The sequence below is a fragment of the Homo sapiens genome, chromosome 7 (genome assembly GCF_000001405.40).
Source record: "Homo sapiens chromosome 7, GRCh38.p14 Primary Assembly".
NCBI classification, from domain to species: domain Eukaryota; kingdom Metazoa; phylum Chordata; class Mammalia; order Primates; family Hominidae; genus Homo; species Homo sapiens.
This window is the reverse complement of record NC_000007.14, coordinates 65,706,249-65,725,934: the sequence shown is the minus strand read 5'-3', so window position 1 is coordinate 65,725,934 and position 19,686 is coordinate 65,706,249. Positions and strand designations below refer to the sequence as shown.

The window sequence follows — 19,686 nt, the reverse complement described above, 5'->3', positions numbered from 1 at the left end:
CTACCCTCTAGTGAAAGCTTCCAGTGGACAAGAAAAGCTTGAGAAAGCCAGAAGGAATAGGAACCCACAGCTCAGGCCGGGCCGAGGCTTCATAAATCAAAAGGACATTTTTTTTTTTTGAGAGATAAGGTCTCACTCCATCACCCAGGCTGGTGTGCAGTGACCCAATCATGGCTCACTGCAGCCTTGAACTCGTGAGCTCAAGTGATCCTCCCAGCTCAGCCTCCTGAGTAGCTGGGACCACAGGTGCACACCACCATGCCTTGCTAACTTTTATTTTTATTTTTGAGACACAGTCTCGCTCTGTCACCCAGGCTGGAGTGCAATGGTGCATTCTTGGCTCACTGCAACCTCCGCCTCCTGGGTTCAAGTGACCCTCCTGCCTCAGCCTCCCAAGTAGCTGGAATTACAGGTGCATGCCACCAGGCCCAGCTAATTTTTGTATTTTTATAGAGACAGTGTTTCACCATGTTGGCCAGGCTGGTCTTGAACTCCTGACCTCAGGTGATCCGCCCACCTCAGCCTCCCAAAGTGCTGAGATTACAGGCGTGAGCTACCGTACCCAGCCCATGGCTAATTTTTAAACTTTTTTGTAGAGATGGAGTCTCACTATGTTGCCCAGGCTGGTCTCAAGCTCCTGGCTTCAAGCAGTCCTCCCACCTCAGCCTCCCAAAGTGCTGGGATTACAGGCATGAGCCACCATGCCCAGCCGCAGAAGGGCAATTATTACACAGTGACAGTGGAAGGAAGAGAGAGACACAGTCGGTGGATGGTGGGAAGATAAGAACATTCACTCTGAGGGCTTCTAGTAATGTTGGAGAAGTGAGTGTCAGCTGAGCAGAAGGGAGGGAGGGAAGGAAGCACAGGAGGTTTGAGGAGAGAGAGAGAGGAAGTATGAAATCGCTGTTGCAAACCTCCTGGGGGAATGTAGAGGGGTTGCCAGGAAGCCCACTTGAAGTCTGAATTTAAAGTGAAAGTCCAGCCAGGCCAGGTGCGGTGGCTCACGCCTGTAATCCCAGCACTTTCAGAGGCTGAAATGGGTGGATCACCTGAGGCCAGGAGTTCATGACCAGCCTGGCCAACATGGTGAAACTCCATCTCTACTTAAAATATAAAAATTAGCTGGGCAGGGTTGTGGGCACCTGTAATCCCAGCTACTCAGGAGGCTGAGGTGGGAGAATTGCTTGAACCCAGGAGACAGAGGTTGCAGTGAGCTGAGATTGCGCCACTGCACTCCAGCGTGGGTGACAAGAGCAAAACTCCGTCTCAAAAAAAAAAAAAAAAGTCAAAGTACAGCCAAACATGGTGGCTCACACCTGTAATCCCAGCACTTTGGGGTGTTGAGGTGAGGAGGATTGCTTGAGGCCAGGAGTTCAAGAGCAGCCTAGGCAACATGGCGAGACCTTATCTCTATAGAAAATTAGAAAATTAGATGGGCATGGTGTGGTGCACGCCTGTGATCCCAGCTCCCACAGAACCTGAGATGGGAGGATCGCTTCAGGAGATGGAGGCTGCAGTGAGCTCTGATCACACCACTGCACTCCAGCCTGGGTGACAGAGTGAGACCCTGTCACTAAAATAAATAAATAAATAAATAAATAAATAAGTAAATGAATAAATAGATGAATAAAGTGAAAGTGCAGCTGAGTGTGTGCTTTCCCAGTGATGCTTGGCTGTCCAGTTGCAGATGCAAGAGATCCAGCCTGTTCATGTCACCCTTGCCCAGGGGAACAATGTCAGGAGAGAGAGAGAAAAAGGAGGTTTTTTTTCTTCTTTTTTTGAGATGGAGTCTCCCTCTGTCGCCTAGGCTGGAGTGTAGTGGTGTGATCTCGGCTCACTGCAACCTCCACCTCCCGGATTCAAGCGATTTTTCCTGCCTCAGCCTCCCTAGTAGCTAGGATTACAGGCGCCTGCCACCACACCCAGCTAATTTTTGTATTTTCAGTAGAGACAGGGGTTTTGCCATTTTGGCCAGGCTGGTCTCGAACTCCTGACCTCAAGTGATCCACCCACTTCGGCCTCCCAAAGTGCTGGGATTACAGGCGTGAACCACCTCGCCCTGCAGGAGTTGATTTTAATTATGAACCATGATTAAGGAAGGCAATGACCACAGAGAGAGTGACAATGAGGTGGGGAGGCCAAGTGGAGAGTTCTGGAGCAACAGAAGAGAGGTCAGCAGAGAGCTGTCTGAAGTCTCCTTTCTGGGTGATGGAGGGTCCCAGGTGTGACCGCAGGCAGGGAGTGGTGGCTGAGAGGCATGTTGGAAAAGCTCACTGGAGCTGCAGCAGTCTAAGTGCCCAGAGAGATGCGGAGTAGGCTGGCCTGTCCACGTGGGTGACGACACCAACGTCTTGTATGAAATCACTGTTGCAAACCTGCTGGGGGAATGTAGAGGGGTTGCTGCTCTACAAGACGGCAAGAAGGATGGAGAACGCAGTCAGCCAGGAACACAAGTCCTCAATGGATGACGAGGTGCAAGCGGAAGACCAGCAGACAGCAGTCACTGAGAGGGACAGCAGGTGACTCCGCTGCCTTTGAAAGAGAAAGGTCTTGGACACGACCACAGGAACCATGAAGGATATAGACCCTACCTTAGATTCTACAGTACGTGGGGTATAGGAGAAAAAAGAGTCCCTGCACCAGACGGTGCCGGGGGATGTGGGGTCCTGAGGGGCCAGTGGGGTTGGAGAGAGGGGACCCTCCTGCAAGAGGCTGAGTGGTGGCTCCAGAGCCGATGATGTCATCAGAGGAGCTGGGGCAGGATGGGGAGTGGGGAGGAGGGTCCAGTCATATTAGGCAATGCACAGATCTGGGGGGAGGCCTATAGCACAGAGGCTCTGTCCTTTGAGGGTGACTGAACCAACAGGGGAAAGCGAGGCATGGTGAAAATAGCCATGGATGGCCAGCTGTGGTGGCTCACACCTGTAATCCCAGCACTTTGAAAGGCTGAGGAGGATGGATCACCGGAGGTCAGGGGTTCAAGACCAGCCTGGCCAACATGGGGAAGCCCCGTCTCTACTAAAAATACAAAATTAGCCAGGCTTGATGGTGGGCACCTGTAATCCCAGCTGCTTGGGAGGCTGAGGCAGGAGAATTGCTTGAACCCAGGAGGCAGAGGTTGCAGCGAGCTGAGATCACATCACTGCACTCCAGCCTGGGCAACAAGAGCGAAACTCTGTCGGGAAGGGGAGAGGAGGGGAGGGGAGGGGAGAAGGAAGGAAGGATCGAAAGAAAGACAAAGAAGGAAGGGAGAGAGAGAGGGGGAAAGAAAGAAAGAAAAGAGAAAGAAAGAAAAAAAAAGGAAGGAAGGAACGAAGGAAAAAGGGAAGGAGGAAGGAAGGAAGGAAAGAAAGAAAGAAAAGGTAAGAAAGAAAACCGTGGATGACCGCAGACGGCCACAGGTGACATTTCAAGCTGTGAATTTGGAGAGAGAGGGCGCTCCAGGCAACTGTGGGGTGACTGCTCCCCCTGGTGGCCATATATGGCTAAAGCAAGTAGAAGTCCAGACACACCTGGAGAACAGGTGCCATCGCCTGAAAGCAACCGTAACCACGACAACAAGGCCAGGTGCAGAACCCAGGTCTCCCCCCTTTATTAGAACCTGTGGAGAGATCATGAATGTATTCTCCGATATGTTTATTTTCAGGGGTTAAAAAAAAAATCTCCCCAGTGTCACTTCTCCCAGGAACGTGTGTATGTGAATGGCTTAAAAACTGTTGCCCTTGACAAAGAAATGTACCAATCTCCAATGACAGAATATTTAATCGAGGAAAGGTCTCATTAACAGATGTTAATTAATCTCCTTAACAGATGTTAAGGAGAACTGCAAACCACTGTTCAATGAAATAAAAGAGAATACAAACAAATGGAACAACATTCCACGCTCATGGGTTGGAAGAATCAATATCGTGAAAATGGCCATACTGCCCAAGGTAATTTATAGATTCAATGCCATCCCCATCAAGCTACCAATGACTTTCTTCACAGAATTGGAAAAAACTACTTTAAAGTTCATATGGAACAAAAAAGAGCCCGCATCGCCAAGTCAATCCTAAGCCAAAAGAACAAAGCCAGAGGCATCATGCTACCTGACTTCAAACTATACTACAAGGCTACAATAACCAAAACAGCATGGTACTGGTACCAAAACAGAGATATAGATCAATGGAACAGAACAGAGTCCTCAGAAATAACACCACATATCTACAACCATCTGATCTTTGACAAACCTGACAAAAACAAGCAGTGGGGAAAGGATTCCCTATTTAATAAATGGTGCTGGGAAAACTGGCTAGTCATATGTAGAAAGCTGAAACTGGATCCCTTCCTTACACCTTAGACAAAAATTAATTCAAGATGGATTAAAGACTTACATGTTAGAACTAAAACCATAAAAACCCTAGAAGAAAACCTAGGCAATACCATTCAGGACATAGGCATGGGCAAGGACTTCATGTCTAAAACACCAAAAGCAATGGCAACAAAAGCCAAAATTGACAAACGGGATCTAACTAAACTAAAGAGCTTCTGCACAGCAAAAGAAACTACCATCAGACTGAACAGGCAACCTACAAAATGGGAGAAAATTTTCGCAACCTACTCATCCAACAAAGGGCAAATATCCAGAATCTACAATGAACTCAAATAAATTTACAAGAAAAAAACAAACAACCCCATCAAAAAGTGGGCGGAGGATATGAACAGACACTTCTCAAAAGAAGACATTTATGCAGCCAAAAAACACATGAAAAAATGCTCATCATCACTGGCCATCAGAGAAATGCAAATCAAAACCACAATGAGATACCATCTCACACCAGTTAGAATGGCGATCATTAAAAAGTCAGGAAACAACAGGTGCTAGAGAGGATGTGGAGAAATAGGAACACTTTTACACTGTTGTTGGGACTCTAAACTAGTTCAACCATTGTGGAAGTCAGTGTGGCGATTCCTCAGGGATCTAGAACTAGAAATACCATTTGACCCAGCCATCCCATTACTGGGTATATACCCAAAGGACTATAAATCATGCTGCTATAAAGACACATGCACACGTATGTTTATTGCGGCACCATTCACAATAGCAAAGACTTGGAACCAACCCAAATGCCCAACAACGATAGACTGGATTAAGAAAATGTGGCACTTATACACCATGGAATACTATGCAGCCATAAAACATGATGAAACTGGAAACCATCATTCTCAGCAAACTATCACAAGGACAAAAAACCAAACACCGCATGTTCTCACTCATAGGTGGGAATTGAACAATGAGAACACATGGACACAGGAAGGGGAACATCACACCCCGGGGACTGTTGTGGGGTGGGGGGAGGGGGGAGGGATAGCATTTGGAGATATACCCAATGCTAAGTGACAAGTTAATGGGTGCAGCACACCAACATGGCACATGTATACATATGTAACAAACCTGCACATTGTACACATGTACCCTAAAACTTAAAGTATAATAATAATAAAATAAAATAAAATAAATAGTTAATGAATGGAGTTCTGCAGGCTTTGCTTTAAAGAACAGATCTACAGTATTTTATTGGGGAATGTAATCTCAGTGTCATCTCTGAGGCATGTTTACTGCTATATCTCTATCGAGCACCTGAAGTAAGTAGTGCCTGGAACAGAGGAATGACTCAGGGTGTGGTGACTGGACTGGATGGCACTTTCAAAGCACTGGACCTGTCCCACGATGGGGCAGTGAGTTTCCCGTCCCTCTACCTATAAGGTACCTAAAAGGTTTAGCCTTGCGTGTGGTAGATGTGCTTTGAAGGGGGTTTAGGAGACAGTCTAGGAGATGACCCTTAAGTAACCTGCCTACAATCTCCTTTACACTCAGGTGATCAGTGAAGTTTTTTTTCAGGGACAATGTAAAACAGTAGTTCTGCTGGTATCACTGACTACGTATTAGAATCACCTATGAACTCTTAAACACTAGTGCCCATAGGCCCTATTCTCAGGATTTTGATTTAATTAATGTAGGCTGACACCTATTCATCTGTTCTTAATGCTTTCTGAGTAATCCTAAAGTGCAGTGAAGGTGGACAACCACTAATGTGGAAAAAAACAAAACAAAACAAAAACACTCCAATATGCAATACAACTTCACAGCTAGCTCAGAACTAGTTCTCTGCAGGTCTCATAATTTATAATAATTTCTGCTTGGAAGCCAGAAGGCCCGTTCCTTTATTGTCACCATAGCCGAAAAGCGTAATCTTCAAGGCCTGATTCATCCTTACCTCCTCCAGGAAGCCTTCTCTGCCTGTTCCAGCCTATTTTTCTGTCCCCTTATTGTACTTCCTGCCAGTGCTTGCATCCCTGCTTTGACTCATATCCCTTTGGCCCTTCTCTCATATCCCTTGTGCCCTTCTCCTTTCCTTTCCTGAGCCTCCACCACACTCCAAATTGAATACTCTAAAAGGTTTAGCCCTGCATGTGGTAGAGGTGCTTTGAAAGGGTTTTTTAGGAGACAGTCTAGGAGATGACCCATCCTGTGCATGTCTACTCACCAAACCCTGTTTTATAATTGCCTGCCCATTTGTATGTCTCTGAATGAAACTGTGTACACCCCGAGAGGAAGAACTGTGATATATTTACCTTGGCAACCACAGCACTTAGTGCATGCAATAGAGTAAACACAATTGCACAAATGGATGGAAGGAAGGATGAATGAGTGGACAGATGGATGAATGAAGGAGTAGTACTCTTTGTGGGGCTTAACTGCACTGTCTGAATTGATTAGTGTCTCTACTACATTTCTCATGTGTCTCTATTACATCTATGTAACTTGGGAAAGAATATTTCCTAGTAATCGCTTTTTCCCATCCATAAATTTTATCTGCCAGCTGACTGACTCACAGCCTGAAAGGAACTTGTTTATTATAGTTTTCTGTAATAAAAGACCAAATCTTAACGTCACATTACAAGATTAGAAAAGGTCTTATCATTTACTGAACCCTTACTGGGTCCTGGGGGCTTTAAATTCATTATCTCTTTATGTCAACTCCTCCTATTTGTCAGTTGTAGAATCTGAGACTCAGAGTTTAAAGTAACTTGCTTCAAACCACACTCAGCAGTAGTTGAGATTCAAGCCTAGGTTCTTTCCCACAGAGGCTCATTTCTTCTCCTGTCCCAGTTTCTGTCCCTCAAGTAGAGACTATAGGGGTACTAACATTAAATACTTCAACACAAGGTCAGTCTAGAAGCTCCACGAGGACCCAAACCCGACAGACCTGGACCTTAACAGTGTTCTGAGGATCCTGCACATGCTCCAGGGTTGCATCAACATCCAGGGCAACCACCAACCCAGAGTTAAACTGCAAAGGGTTGTCTGACTCGCCCGCTGGCTCAATGATGGTGGCTGAGGCTTTGTGGATCTGTAAGCCAGAGGAAAATCCTATGATTCTAAAGCCAGGTCATTCCTGGACAAGAAAACACATCTTTTTTCTGTCTCCTTATCTAATGAGTGGGCATGTGGGAGCCACTCAGAGGAAGAGCCTAGCCCAGCTGCTCCATTGGTCAAAGAAGATCACCAAGGTAAAGATTTTTGACCGTCTGGACAGATTTGGCCTACAGGGGCCAAATAGACCCTGACCTGCTCTGGAAGTGGGAGATGCAGAAAGGCACTCTGTCGCAGCATGGTCTGTAGAATTTTGACCACTTCTGCAGGTTTGGATGTCATGAGTCGGGGCATAAGGTCAAGGAGTTTGTCCACAAAGCTGTCCTGCAAGTGGGGCAAATCAGCGATGAAATACCTGGAGGAACAAACAGAAGCAACTGACTCATTCAACTGTGCACACATTCACCACAGGCTGGGCCCCAGACACCTACCAAACCCTGAAGTAGGAAGAATGATGAAGTGAGAAGAGCTTGCAATTTACGACCAAGATAGACTGGTACCTATACAATCATGCCTCAGTCACATGATCATCAGAAAGGCCTCTGTTTATTGATAACCATTATGTGCCAGGCATACTCTTAAGTGTTTTACATGATCTTATTTAACTCCCAGCAATCCTATGCATCATTAGAATTTTTATTTTCATATTATAGATTCATTAATTATTTTAACAAATACATTTTTAAGACCTACGAAGCACCAAGCACTATTTTAGGTTCTGGAAACACAGTGAACAAAAGAGAACAAAACGATTGCTTCAATGGAGCTTACATTCAAGTGGCAGAAATACTGAGACTCAGAGGGGATGATGCCTCACTGAGGCTCAGAAAAGTTAAGTACGTTACTCCTGTCTCAGACTGATCCAATTTTGGGCCTCGTGCCAGTGGATAGTCAAAAAATATCTCACTGAGGAGGTGATATCTGTGCAGGAACTCAAAGGATGAATTAAGAACATCAGATGAAGAACTTTGGGGATTCAGAGCTATCATCTTCCCAAAAATCTTTTCAACCCAACTGTGCAAAAACAGACTCTCTACTTTAAAGAATCTAAAGCCAAAAGTAAGGCATGAACTTATTTCAGATTCAAAACTAGAATTTATTTTTTATTTTCTTTTTGGGAAGGAGTCTCGCGCTATTGCCCGGGCTGGTGTGCAATGGCGTGATGTCGGCTCACTGGAACCTCCGCCTCCTGTGTTCAAGCAATTCTCCTGCCTCAGCCTCCCGAGTGGCTGGGATTACAGCTGCCCACCACCACGCCCTACTAATTTTTTGTATTTTTTAGTAGAGACAGGGTTTCATTATGTTGGCCAGGCTGGTCTCGAACTCCTGACCTCATGATCCACCCGCCTCAGCCTCCCAAAGTGCTGGGATTACAGGCGTGAGCCACCGCGCCCAGCCTCAAAACTAGGATCTTAAAAAGCTAAGCTAGATGGTACAGTTTGCTAGACAGCATTACCTGCTGGTGAAGGTAGCGTTGCAACTCAGCCCTGTAAGAAGCTATCATCACCCCAATGACAAGTACAGAGTCACAAAAACCTCAGGTTTGGTGAACTTCATGAGGGCAGAGACAATGAGCGGAAGAAATGAAACAGACTTCATCAGTGCTTTAAGATCCTATGTCTTCTCCCAGTATTATTCTGCCAGCATACCAGAAGTCTGGTCACTCCCTTGACTCCTATTTCTTCATCAAGCTTTCCATTCAACTACTGCATGTGCTTTAACAGATTCATTCCATATAAAACTCTGAAAAAATATATGTATTCTACAAAATAAAATTTACCTATAGAATTACAAAACAATTGTTTGTAGATTACAGAGAAATATGCAAGTATAAGAACAGTGTGGGCCTGGTGCAGTGGTTCACACCTGTAATCCCAATACTTCAGGAGGCAGAGGCAGGAGGATCTCTTGAAGCCAGGAGTTTGAGACCAGCCTGAGCAACACAGCAAGACCCCATCTCTAAAAAAAATATTAAAAATTATCCAGGCATGGTGGCACATGCCTGTAGTCCTAGCTACTCAGGAGTCTGAAGTAGGATGATAGCTTTAGCCCAGGAGTTCAAGGGTGCAGTGAGCTGTGCCAGTCTGGGTGACAGAGTGAGACCCTGTCTCAAAAAATAATAATGAGGTCAGACGCGGTGGTGGCTCATGCCTGTAATCCCAGCACTTTGGGAGGCCAAGGCAGGCAGATCACTTGAGGTCAGGAGTTAGAGACCAGCCTGGCCAACATGATGAAACCCCGTCTCTACTAAAAATACAAAAATTAGCCAGGTGTGGTGGCAGGCACCTGTAGTCCCAACTACTTGGGAGGCTGAGGCAGAAGAATCACTTGAACCCAGGAGGCGGAGGCTGCAATGAGCCAAGACTGCGCCACTGCACTCCAGCGTGGGTGACAGAGCAAGACTCTGTCTCAAATAAATAAATAAATAAATAAATAAATAAATAAATAAGAATGGTGTGAACGAACAGTGTTGAAAAAAACAGATGACTAATGATTTTTTTCAACAAACGTATTTACACGTTTTCTTCATATTACTTGTGTTTTTATGGCCTAGCTGAGTGCTAAATGCAAGTGATTCCTGGTAGGTTTAGTTTTGAAGCTCCAACTTCAAAGAAGTTTCTATAATATTAAGGAAAAAAACCAAATTAGTTTTTTTTTCCTAATTTAAGGTTAACGACATGGCCACAGATGATAGCCTGGCTGCACAAGCTAAACCAAGGAATGTGATTTGTGATTGTTCCTATTGCCTGCAAGTGCTATACTCCGTGTAACCAAGATTTTATAAGCCGGAAGAGTTATAAAATACTTACCTCTGAAAAAAGTCTACTTCCTGTAAAAATTTTTCACACATCCCAAATAAGGGGTAAAGTCTGTAGAAAAGAAACGTAAAATAATTTGCTTGTGAAATCTGCAAACTGAGGTGGACCAAAGTCCCAGAAACCTGAGCCTAAATTAAAGGAAAATTAGTATATTACACTATAAAAACGATCTCTAAAAGTAACAGAAGACTCCTAATGGACCTGGGGGAAACACCTGTCGGGATCCCAAGACCTGATTAAACCACTGCAGTGCCCATTAAGCTCAAAGAATATTAAAAATCAAAGACTATCACAGGCTACACTTGGCACTAGACTCACTACGAATACAGAAGAGAAGCATAGCATGTGGGCAGTACAGTGTCAAGTTCCCCTTCTTCAGGAGTCCTTGCTTCATTAACATCTCAGCTAGCATGGTCTCTATACCTATCTGATTTAGATCTCATCTCCTTGCACATGAGCTGTCAGCATTGGGATGAAAGCTCCCAGATAGCTGTGTGGACTGCTGCAAGATCTACCCAGTTTCAAGAATCACTGCACTCAATGAAGCCTACAGCCATTGTATCGGCATCTGGAAACTAGTTCATTTATATTTCCTTCTGGTCTACATGCAATTTACTCAGAGATCATTTTTTCCATAGCGGTATAGCCTACTAATGTAGTTGATACTGTAAGGGCTCCAAGAAACATACCTAAAAAGTTAACTAAATTCCTATGCGAGAGGTGAAAAGGTTTTGCTACTATTTTGCCGACAGACATGGATGGTGTTCCTTCCTCTCTATCTTGAATTACTTGGCCTCACAGTACTTGAGAACATTCCATTTCAGTAAAAAGTTATTGCATACCTAAATAATCCAGGCAACATGCTAGGTCAATGTGACTTACTAAGTTTTGACCTTTGTATATTTTCTTCCTATTTCTTGTATGTAATTTCTGCATGAAATTTCCCACTTGTTTTCTTTAATATATTATTCATTGGATGAATAAAAGTTCCCACCAAGATAAAACAAATACTCTTTCCTTATGTAAAAATATGTAAGAGAATGATGTCAAAGTTTAGTCTTTTTATTAAAATATAGTCTCCATGAGTAGACTTTGTATTCTTCATCATATATTTCCTAGCACAGGCAGCATTCAATAAGTATTTGCTGATGAACAAAAAATGGGGCCGGGGGTAGATGGCAAATGGAAACCTACTCTGGAAGCAACATTCATTCTAATTCTTTTCCTGAAAAAAAAAAAAAAAACAACAAAAAAAAGTAGCACTTGAAAGTTTTTAAACTAATCTTCTACCAGAAATGGAAGTGAAATTTCATAGTGAGGTTACCCACCAAACACCACAAGGAGTGAGAGGGCTAGAAGAGAGAATTCCAGCCAAGCAAGGGCACAAAGGAAAGCAATTTGGCCAAGCAGTGACATTTCCTCATTTGTTTGCCTGATTATATAGAGAATCATCTTGGAGAGACTCCAGGAAGTAAAATACAAAAAGATTTGGGAACTCTCCCCAGACGTCAAAAAAGAGCAGGCATCCTCATCAACAGGCCATATACATGAAGTAGGCCTCTAATACTAAGATCTCCTACTTTTCCTTTGGTGTGAGGGAAGGAAAGCTATGAAAGTGAGGCTCACTCGGGGGCTAACAATCATTAAAGAATACAAATTACCAATTTAAACTAGCCTAGACTTTCACTGTAAGTAGGCAAAGACAATGGAAAATGACTAGGTGTTATAAATGACAATCAGGAGCTGTAAAGGAGACCAAGCAGTCCTCAAAAAGAGTTAAGTCAAGGCAAGAAAGCACAGAAAACTTTTTAAAAAATTCTAATCAACAACCTCAGTGAGAGTTAACAGGGATTTAAAAGGATATTACATTGACAAAGCAAGAGAAACTGCTACAGAAACAGCAGATGACAAGAAGAGAAACTATACAGCAGAAAAAAAAGGAAAAAAATAGTAGAGAAGCACACTTGGAAATAAAACACATAATAATGAAATCAAACTCAACAGTTGAGAACAGCGGAATCAACAACAATGTAAACTGAAATGATAAACTAAAAAGAGCATATTAAAGAATTTACTGGCCAGGCACAGTGGCTCATGCTTGTAATTCCAACACTTTGGGAGGCTGAGGCAGGCGGATCACCCGAGATCAGAAGTTCAGGACCAGCCTGACCAAACATGGAGAAACCCTGTCTCTACTAAAAATACAAAATTAGCCGGGTGCAGTGGCGCATGCCTGTAATCCCAGCTACTTGGGAGGCTGAGGCAGGAGAATCGCTTGAACCCGGGAGGTGGAGGTTGCAGGGAGCTGAGATTGTTGAGATTGTGCCATTACACTCCAGCCTGGGCATCAACAGCAAAACTCCGTCTCAAAAAAAAAAAAAAAAAAAAAAAAAAAAAAAAAAAAAAAAAAAAGAATTTACTCAGAATATAGAATAGAAAAACAACGAAATTGAAATTACAAAAGAAAAGGTATAGGAAAAATAGATCCAGAAAATCCAACATTTAGTATGACAGACTAGAGTGTATAGAAGAAGTAAAGAAATAATGGAGAAAAAAAAAATCCCTGAGCTAAAAACAGCTGATACTTCAAACTCCCACCGAAGATCAGCAAGAATATTGAAAGAAAACACATACCTAGATATATCCTGGTGAAATTAAAGAAAGAAAGAAAATTTTAAAGGTTTGAGCATGAAAAATAAGCTGTAGGGAAGAGAACCAGACTGACATAAAACATTCAACTGTAACATTAAATACTAAAAGGGAACATAGCAAAGGCAGAGAGTCTCTATGAACCTATTCTGGTTTGGCGGGGGTTGCCCAATAAAATAAATAAATAAAGGCACCATAGCAATATGGAAATATTGGAAAAGAATTCCATTTATGTATGAGAGCAAAGGAATTTAAAAGGCGACAGAGAACAGTGGTGGCAAAGTTGGAGCTAAACTTATAAAGATCATAAGTGGTGGCTCACGTCTGTAATCCTAGCACTTTGGGAGGCCGAGGTGGGAGGATAGTTTGAGTTCAGGAGTTCAAGACTGGCCTGGGCAACACAGTGAAACCATGTTTCTATTATTTTTAAAAATAAAAAATATTTTATAAAAAAATTAAAAATAAAAATAAACAAGGATATACAAAGATTATGTACTTATAACTTTAAAAGATTATATTTATAAACATAAAAATTAATATAAGCTACATTATAAAAACATAATCAGCTGAAACAAACCTCCAAGTTATTATTATTATTATTATTATTATTATTATTATTATTTTTTTGAGACGGAGTCTCACTCTCACCCAGGCTGGAGTGCAGTGGTGGGATCTCAGCTCACTGCGAGCTCCACCTCCTGGGTTCATGCCATTCTCCTGCCTCAGCCTCCCGAATAGCTGGGATTACAGGCACCTGCCACCACGCCCGGCTAATTTTTTTTTTTATTTTTAGTAGAGCCGGGGTTTCACCATGTTAGCCAGGATGGTCTCGATCTCCTGACCTCGTGATCCACCCGATTCAGCCTCCCAAAGTGCTGGGGTTACAGGCGTTAGCCACCGCACCCAGCCATATTATTGTTATTATTTTTAAGACATAGGGTCTTGTTCTGTTGCCCAAGTTGGAGTGCAATGGCATGATCATAGCTCATTGCAGCCTCGAACTCCTGGGCTCAAGGGATCCTCCCACCTCAGCCTCCCAAGTAACTAGGACCACAGGTGCACACCACCCATGTCCAGCTAATTTTTGATTTTTATTTTTTAGAGACAGGGTCTCACTATGTTGCTTAGGCTGGGGTCAAACTCCTGGCTGGGCTCAAGCGATCCTCCTGCTTTCGCCTCCTAAAGTCTGGGATTACAGGCATGAGCCACTGCATCTAGCCCAAATTGCTATTATTATTTTTTGCTCAGTAAGAGACCTTAACTGGCCTGAATTATTATTATTATTATTATTTGAGATGGAGTCTCACTCTGTCACCCAGGCTGGAGTGCAGTGGCATGATTTCGGCTCGCTGCAACCTCCGCCTCCTGGGTTCAAGCAATTTTCTGCCTCAACCTCCCGAGTAGTTGGGATTACAGACGCCCACCACCACGCCTGGCTAATTTTTTGTATTTTTAGTAGAGATGGGGTTTCACCATCTTGGCCAGGCTGGTCTTGAACTCCTGACCTCGTGATCCACCTGTCTTGGCCTCCCAAAGTGATGGGATTACAGGCGTGAGCCACTGAGCCCGGCCAACTGGCCCAAATTACTTAAGCAGTAAGAGACAAACAAAAGCATACTAAAATCTTCATCTTCATCTTAGATCATCTTGATCTCAGAGAGGTGACCATAAATTCTGTTTAACTTTTTATGCTGATAAATATAAGTTCAATATGTTCATTAAAAATATAAGTAATAACAGTATTACTAAAACTAATATTAGTTAACATGTATCAAGTATTTATAATGGATGTGACAGACACTATTTTAAAGGCTTTGCATATAATAATCCAGCCAGGCACAGTAGCTCACGCCTGGAATCCCAGCACTTTGGGAGGCCAAGGCAGGTGGATCACTTGAGGCCAGGAGTTTGAGACCAGCACGGCCAACATGGTGAAACCCCATCTCTCCTAAAAATAAAAAAATTAGCTGAGTGTGGTGACATGGGCCTGTAGTCCCAGCTACTTGGGAGGCTGAGGCATAAGAGTTGCTTGGACCCGGGAACCAGAGGTTGCAGTGAGTTGAGATCGTGCCACTGCACTCCAGCCTGGGTGATAGAGCAAGACTCTGTCTCATAAATAAATAAAATAAATAAATGGTTTTGCATATAATAATTCAATAACCCTTACAATACCCCTGTGAGGAAGAGACAGGTACTACTATTATCTCAGTTTAACTTATGGGAACAAACTGAGGCCAAGAAGTGTTAAGTAACTTGTCCAAGGGTTACTCAGTTTGCAAATGGTAAAGTCAAGATGTGAACCCAAGCAGTGTGGCACCACAGCCCTCTTAACCAGTATGTTCTACTGCCTCTCACTTGAAGTGTTTAGAATTACGGTGCATAACTTTCAAACCCCTGGAGGACAAAAGAAAACAATCTAGCAAAACTTAAGAAAGAAAAAAAAGAAAAAAACAGGAACGCATACAAATGAAAAATATAGGCTGGGCTCAGTGGCTCACGCCTGTAATCCCAGCACTTTGGGAGGCCGAGTCGGGTGGATCACCTGAGTTCAGGAGTTCGAGACCAGCCTGGCTAACATGGTGAAACCCGTCTCTACTGAAAATACAAAATTAGCCGGGCATGGTGTTGCATGCCTGTAATCCCAGCTACTTGGGAGGCTGAGGCAGGAGAATTGCTTGAACCCAGGAGGCAGAGGTTGCAGTGAGCTGAGATTGGACCACTGCACTCCAGCCTGGGCGACAGAGCGAGACTTTGTCTAAAAGAAAAAAAAAAAGAAAAATATAAAATATTATAGCATGAATAAAGACCTAAAAACATTAGTATCTTTATATAATGACACGACAAGATAAGCATATTATAATGTTGGGTGAAAGGAATAGGAGGCAGAACAGCAAAGTATGGTAAGATCCCCTTTATGTTATTGTACACATCTTTATAACCTATGTTTATACGGTTTGGGAAAATCTGGAAGTATACACATGAAATGTTGGCAGCTGTTTTCGAAGTGGTAGATTACCAGAGAACCTTCACTTACCCTGTAATATTTTAATTTTTGTAACAATTATATATAAACTAAAAAAAATCTTTTTTAAAAAACAGTATAGATGCCATCACAAGCACTTTTGTTTTTTCAGCTATAACTGGCACATAGTAGGGATTAAACATTTGTTAAATGAATATATGAATATCTTTTTTTTTTTATAAAGATGGAGTCTTGCTCTGTTGCCCAGGCTGGAGTGCAGTGATGTGATTTCGGCTCACTGCAACCTCCGTCTCCCGGGTTCTAGAGATTCTCCTGCCTCAGCCTCCCGAGTAGCTGGGACTACTGGTGCATGCCACCACGCCCAGCTAATTTTATGTATTTTTAGTAGAGACAGGGTTTCACCATGTTAGCTAGGATGCTCTTGATCTCCTGACCTCGTGATCTGCCCACCTTGGCCTCCCAAAGTGCTGGGATTACAGGTGTGAGCCACCGCACCCGGCCACATATGAATATCTTTACGATTAAATGATTCTTTGACTTTATGAGGTCACTATCAAGATAAGTGAAGAAATAAAATATTTTATTTTTCAGGATGTTATTTCTGACCTAGTATGTTTCTGTGTTTAAACATTCATATTTATATCTCTATGCCACTTTTTTTTTTGACACAGCAGCTGAACTGAGCATCAAACATGTCTGTGAGCTGGCAATGAGTCACCTAAGTACTTTTTTGTATCAAATCTATGATGCCATCATTCTTAAGATGCACCTTTATTTTATGAAATAGTAAGAAACAAAAAACACTATAGGACACCATCAAAATATCTGATTTCAGAGAAGTTACAATAATAAAAAATGTGTATCTTGGAATCAATGAAATGTGGCAATTCCAGTTATCTGAAAGTCTTACAGCTATAATTACACTGAGCTCTTATTACGTATCAAGTACCATGCTAAGTGTTTTTATATTGTATTATCTCATTTATTCTTCATAGAAATGCCATGAGGTAGATGCTGTCTTCATTTTCATTTTGTACAGGGAAACAAGGTACAGAAAGGTTCATAACCAAACAACTAGTAAGTAGAAAAGACAAGATTTGAACAAAGTAGTCTGACTTCCCAGTACATCCTCTTAATTTATCCTTATTGCCTGAGAAAAAGCTTATTAGTCCCTTCAGAACAGAAAAAGTGGTCCCTGGCACTAAACTCTTGAGGAAATCTATCAAGTAGGAGGATACAGAATGTCCTTATTGCCAGATAAAGTCCAGTGTTGTGCTATATGTAATGGAGAGTCACCAGAGGGTTTTTAGCAAGGGAGACGCACAGTTGGATTTCCAAGGGTCTAATCTGATCCAACAACAGAATTTGTAATATCTGAAAAAAATGAATAGATCACACATTCCTTAGCTAGTCTATCCTAAATTTCATTTTACTTATCATTAACTTTCGTGTGATGTCTGAATGCATTTGAAGTATCTTTGAAAGGAACATGCCACATATTTTGGCCAACCCCACATCTTACCCTCATGTAGTTCGTGCTGTTATTATAAGTTGCAAAGCTTTGGCCTGCAGCCTCATGTGATGTATAATCACCACCTGCTTATTCTCCACACCACTCTACATGAATTCCATTTTGTAGGTCTCTTCCATAATCGATAAAGAAAAGATAATTAACAATCAATAAAAATATCATAGTCTTACTTGAGAGCAGCATAGAATTCTACTGTTAAATGACCTTAGGTGAAACTCTTAACTGAGATTTTACATCCCTATGCTTTTAAGTGTGGAAAGAAATTAGTATAGTATGCCTTGTAAAAAGAGAATAAATTATTTTGCCTATTTAAAAAGAAGACTGACCTGGTAATAAAATCATCTTAGTTGATGATGTGAAGATAAGAAAGTTTAATCACTAAGCAAACTGCAAAGCACTGAAAGCACTGCTTCTTACCCTAAATGAAGCCCACTCTGCTGTGGGAACAAATTAATATATATTATGTATGGAAACCCAATCCCCACAAAGTCCTCAAGAATTAAGCATCAGGAACTATTAACCATATGTTAGTTATCCTGACAGACTGTTCCATGGGCCTGGTCTGAGGGAGTTTGGGATGGAAATAAGTGCAAGAAAACATTGTCTATGACCCCAGATCAAGTCCCCGATCTTGCTTAGTTCCATCCAAATAAGCGATTTTCATCAAAATGATGCTTCTCTTTTTCTTCTGTGCTTGCCTCCCAGTGAACACTCTAGGGTCACGGAAACGACTCCAGACTCTCTTACAATTGGCAATAAGACAAGTTAAATTACATGAGTGTCTCAATCCCTTTCTGTAAACAGGGAAGAAACAGTACCAATATCATGAAGTTTCAAGTATCAAATGGAGCATGCAATGTGTTTATCACAGTATCTGGTATACAGCAATGGTAATTCCTTTCCTCTTTTCCTTCCAAATTATTGCTCCCTGATCCCATCCTTCCAATGTGGCTCAATTATCGGGTTCTAGTCATTAAATGCTACTCTTCTACAATAAGCCACATACCAGGTCTGAGAAAGAGTCTGGATCAGACAAGAGTTCAGCACTGTAGTAGAAAACAGATTCTGGGTATCAGAGGATCTGGTCTCAAGTCCTGACTGTATTACCTATAGCTCTATGAATTTAACCTTGCTGAGCCTTAACTGCCTCATCTCTAAAATAGACTTAATACTTATTCCTATCTAATGGGATTGTTATGAGGGTTAATTAAGCTAATAGACTTGAAATCATTTAGTGAACTGTAATGTAACAATAACAATCACCATCATTAGCTTCCTCCTGGGTCATTTACAGACTCCCTATCTGGAAGACTTGACCTGCCAGAGATCACCAAGTCTCAATACTTAGGTGCAAAGGGGAACGGCTCAAAGCTAAAAAGAAATAAACTAGAGACAAATAAAATTAAAGCCTACTTAATGAACTACCCAGGACCTTTTAACGTTGAAGAGATGGTACAGGCTAAAGATATAAACAACCTTAACTGAGTTGGGCTACATTTTCAGATGAAAGATTCATGACAGTAGCGACAGCGTTTCACCATGTTGGCCAGGCTGGTCTCAAACTCCTAACCTTAAGTGATGCGCCCATCTCAGCCTCCCAAAGTGCTGGGATTACAGGTGTGAGCCACCACACCCGGCCCAACTGCCACATTTTATAGAAGAGAAAAAATCCAGGGAATTTAAGTAACTTGCTCAATATCACTCAGCAAATCAGAGGAAGACCTGGGACTAGGACCCAGGTCCCCTGAGTCCACAGTGAGTGCTGCGTCCCCTAGTTATGCTCCTTCTCATATCACTAACTTCTGTCATAGCCTAAAATTAGGGAGGCCACAGCAGAGGTACAGAGCTACAGGAAGGCCTCTGGCTCCGCCTTGGACCAGACAATTCCTGGACAGAGACCTATTTGAAGGGAAGGTCTGAATAAGCTTACCTGTGTTGCTGCTGCTGAGGCCAAATCACTCTGCTTCAAATACAAAGGGGCAGCTACATGCCACAACTTTTCCTGCAAGGCCTACAGAGACAGAGCTATAGGAAGGCCTCTGGCTCTGCCTTGGACCAGACAATTCCTGGACAGAGACCTGTTTGAAGGGAAGGTCTGAATAAGCTTACCTGTTTTGCTGCTGCTGAGGCCAAATCACTCTGCTTCAAATACGAAGGGGCAGCTACATTCCACGACTTTTCCTGCAAGGCCTACACAGACAAATCAGGAGGGAACAGAATACCGACGTCACAAAGACTGGCATATCATTTGGAATTTACATTTTTGTTTTCCTTTGAAAGTCTACCA

At 42.6% G+C, this 19,686-nt stretch overlaps 1 long non-coding RNA gene and 1 pseudogene across 3 annotated transcripts in view; one reads left to right on the top strand and one right to left on the bottom strand.

The window, feature by feature from the left end:
* LINC03006 (long intergenic non-protein coding RNA 3006) overlaps nucleotides 1–19,686 on the top strand; it is a 123,801-nt gene that overhangs the window by 44,876 nt on the left and 59,239 nt on the right. The window contains exon 4 of one of the 2 annotated variants that reach the window (NR_103527.2): nucleotides 10,087–11,324. The exons of the other annotated variant lie outside the window; for it this stretch is intronic. This is a non-coding gene — a long non-coding RNA (long intergenic non-protein coding RNA 3006). Of the gene's footprint in view, nucleotides 1–10,086; nucleotides 11,325–19,686 lie in introns of those variants that run through there. 2 annotated transcript variants of the gene reach the window in all.
* Nucleotides 7,247–19,686, bottom strand: part of INTS4P2 (integrator complex subunit 4 pseudogene 2) — a 70,835-nt pseudogene continuing 58,395 nt past the window's right edge. Inside the window, exons 10-13 of the transcript NR_027392.2 lie at nucleotides 19,509–19,589; nucleotides 10,228–10,287; nucleotides 7,613–7,772; nucleotides 7,247–7,394 (exon numbers count right to left, since the gene is read on the bottom strand). The product of NR_027392.2 is annotated as an integrator complex subunit 4 pseudogene 2 (transcript). The remainder of the gene's footprint in view (nucleotides 7,395–7,612; nucleotides 7,773–10,227; nucleotides 10,288–19,508; nucleotides 19,590–19,686) is intronic.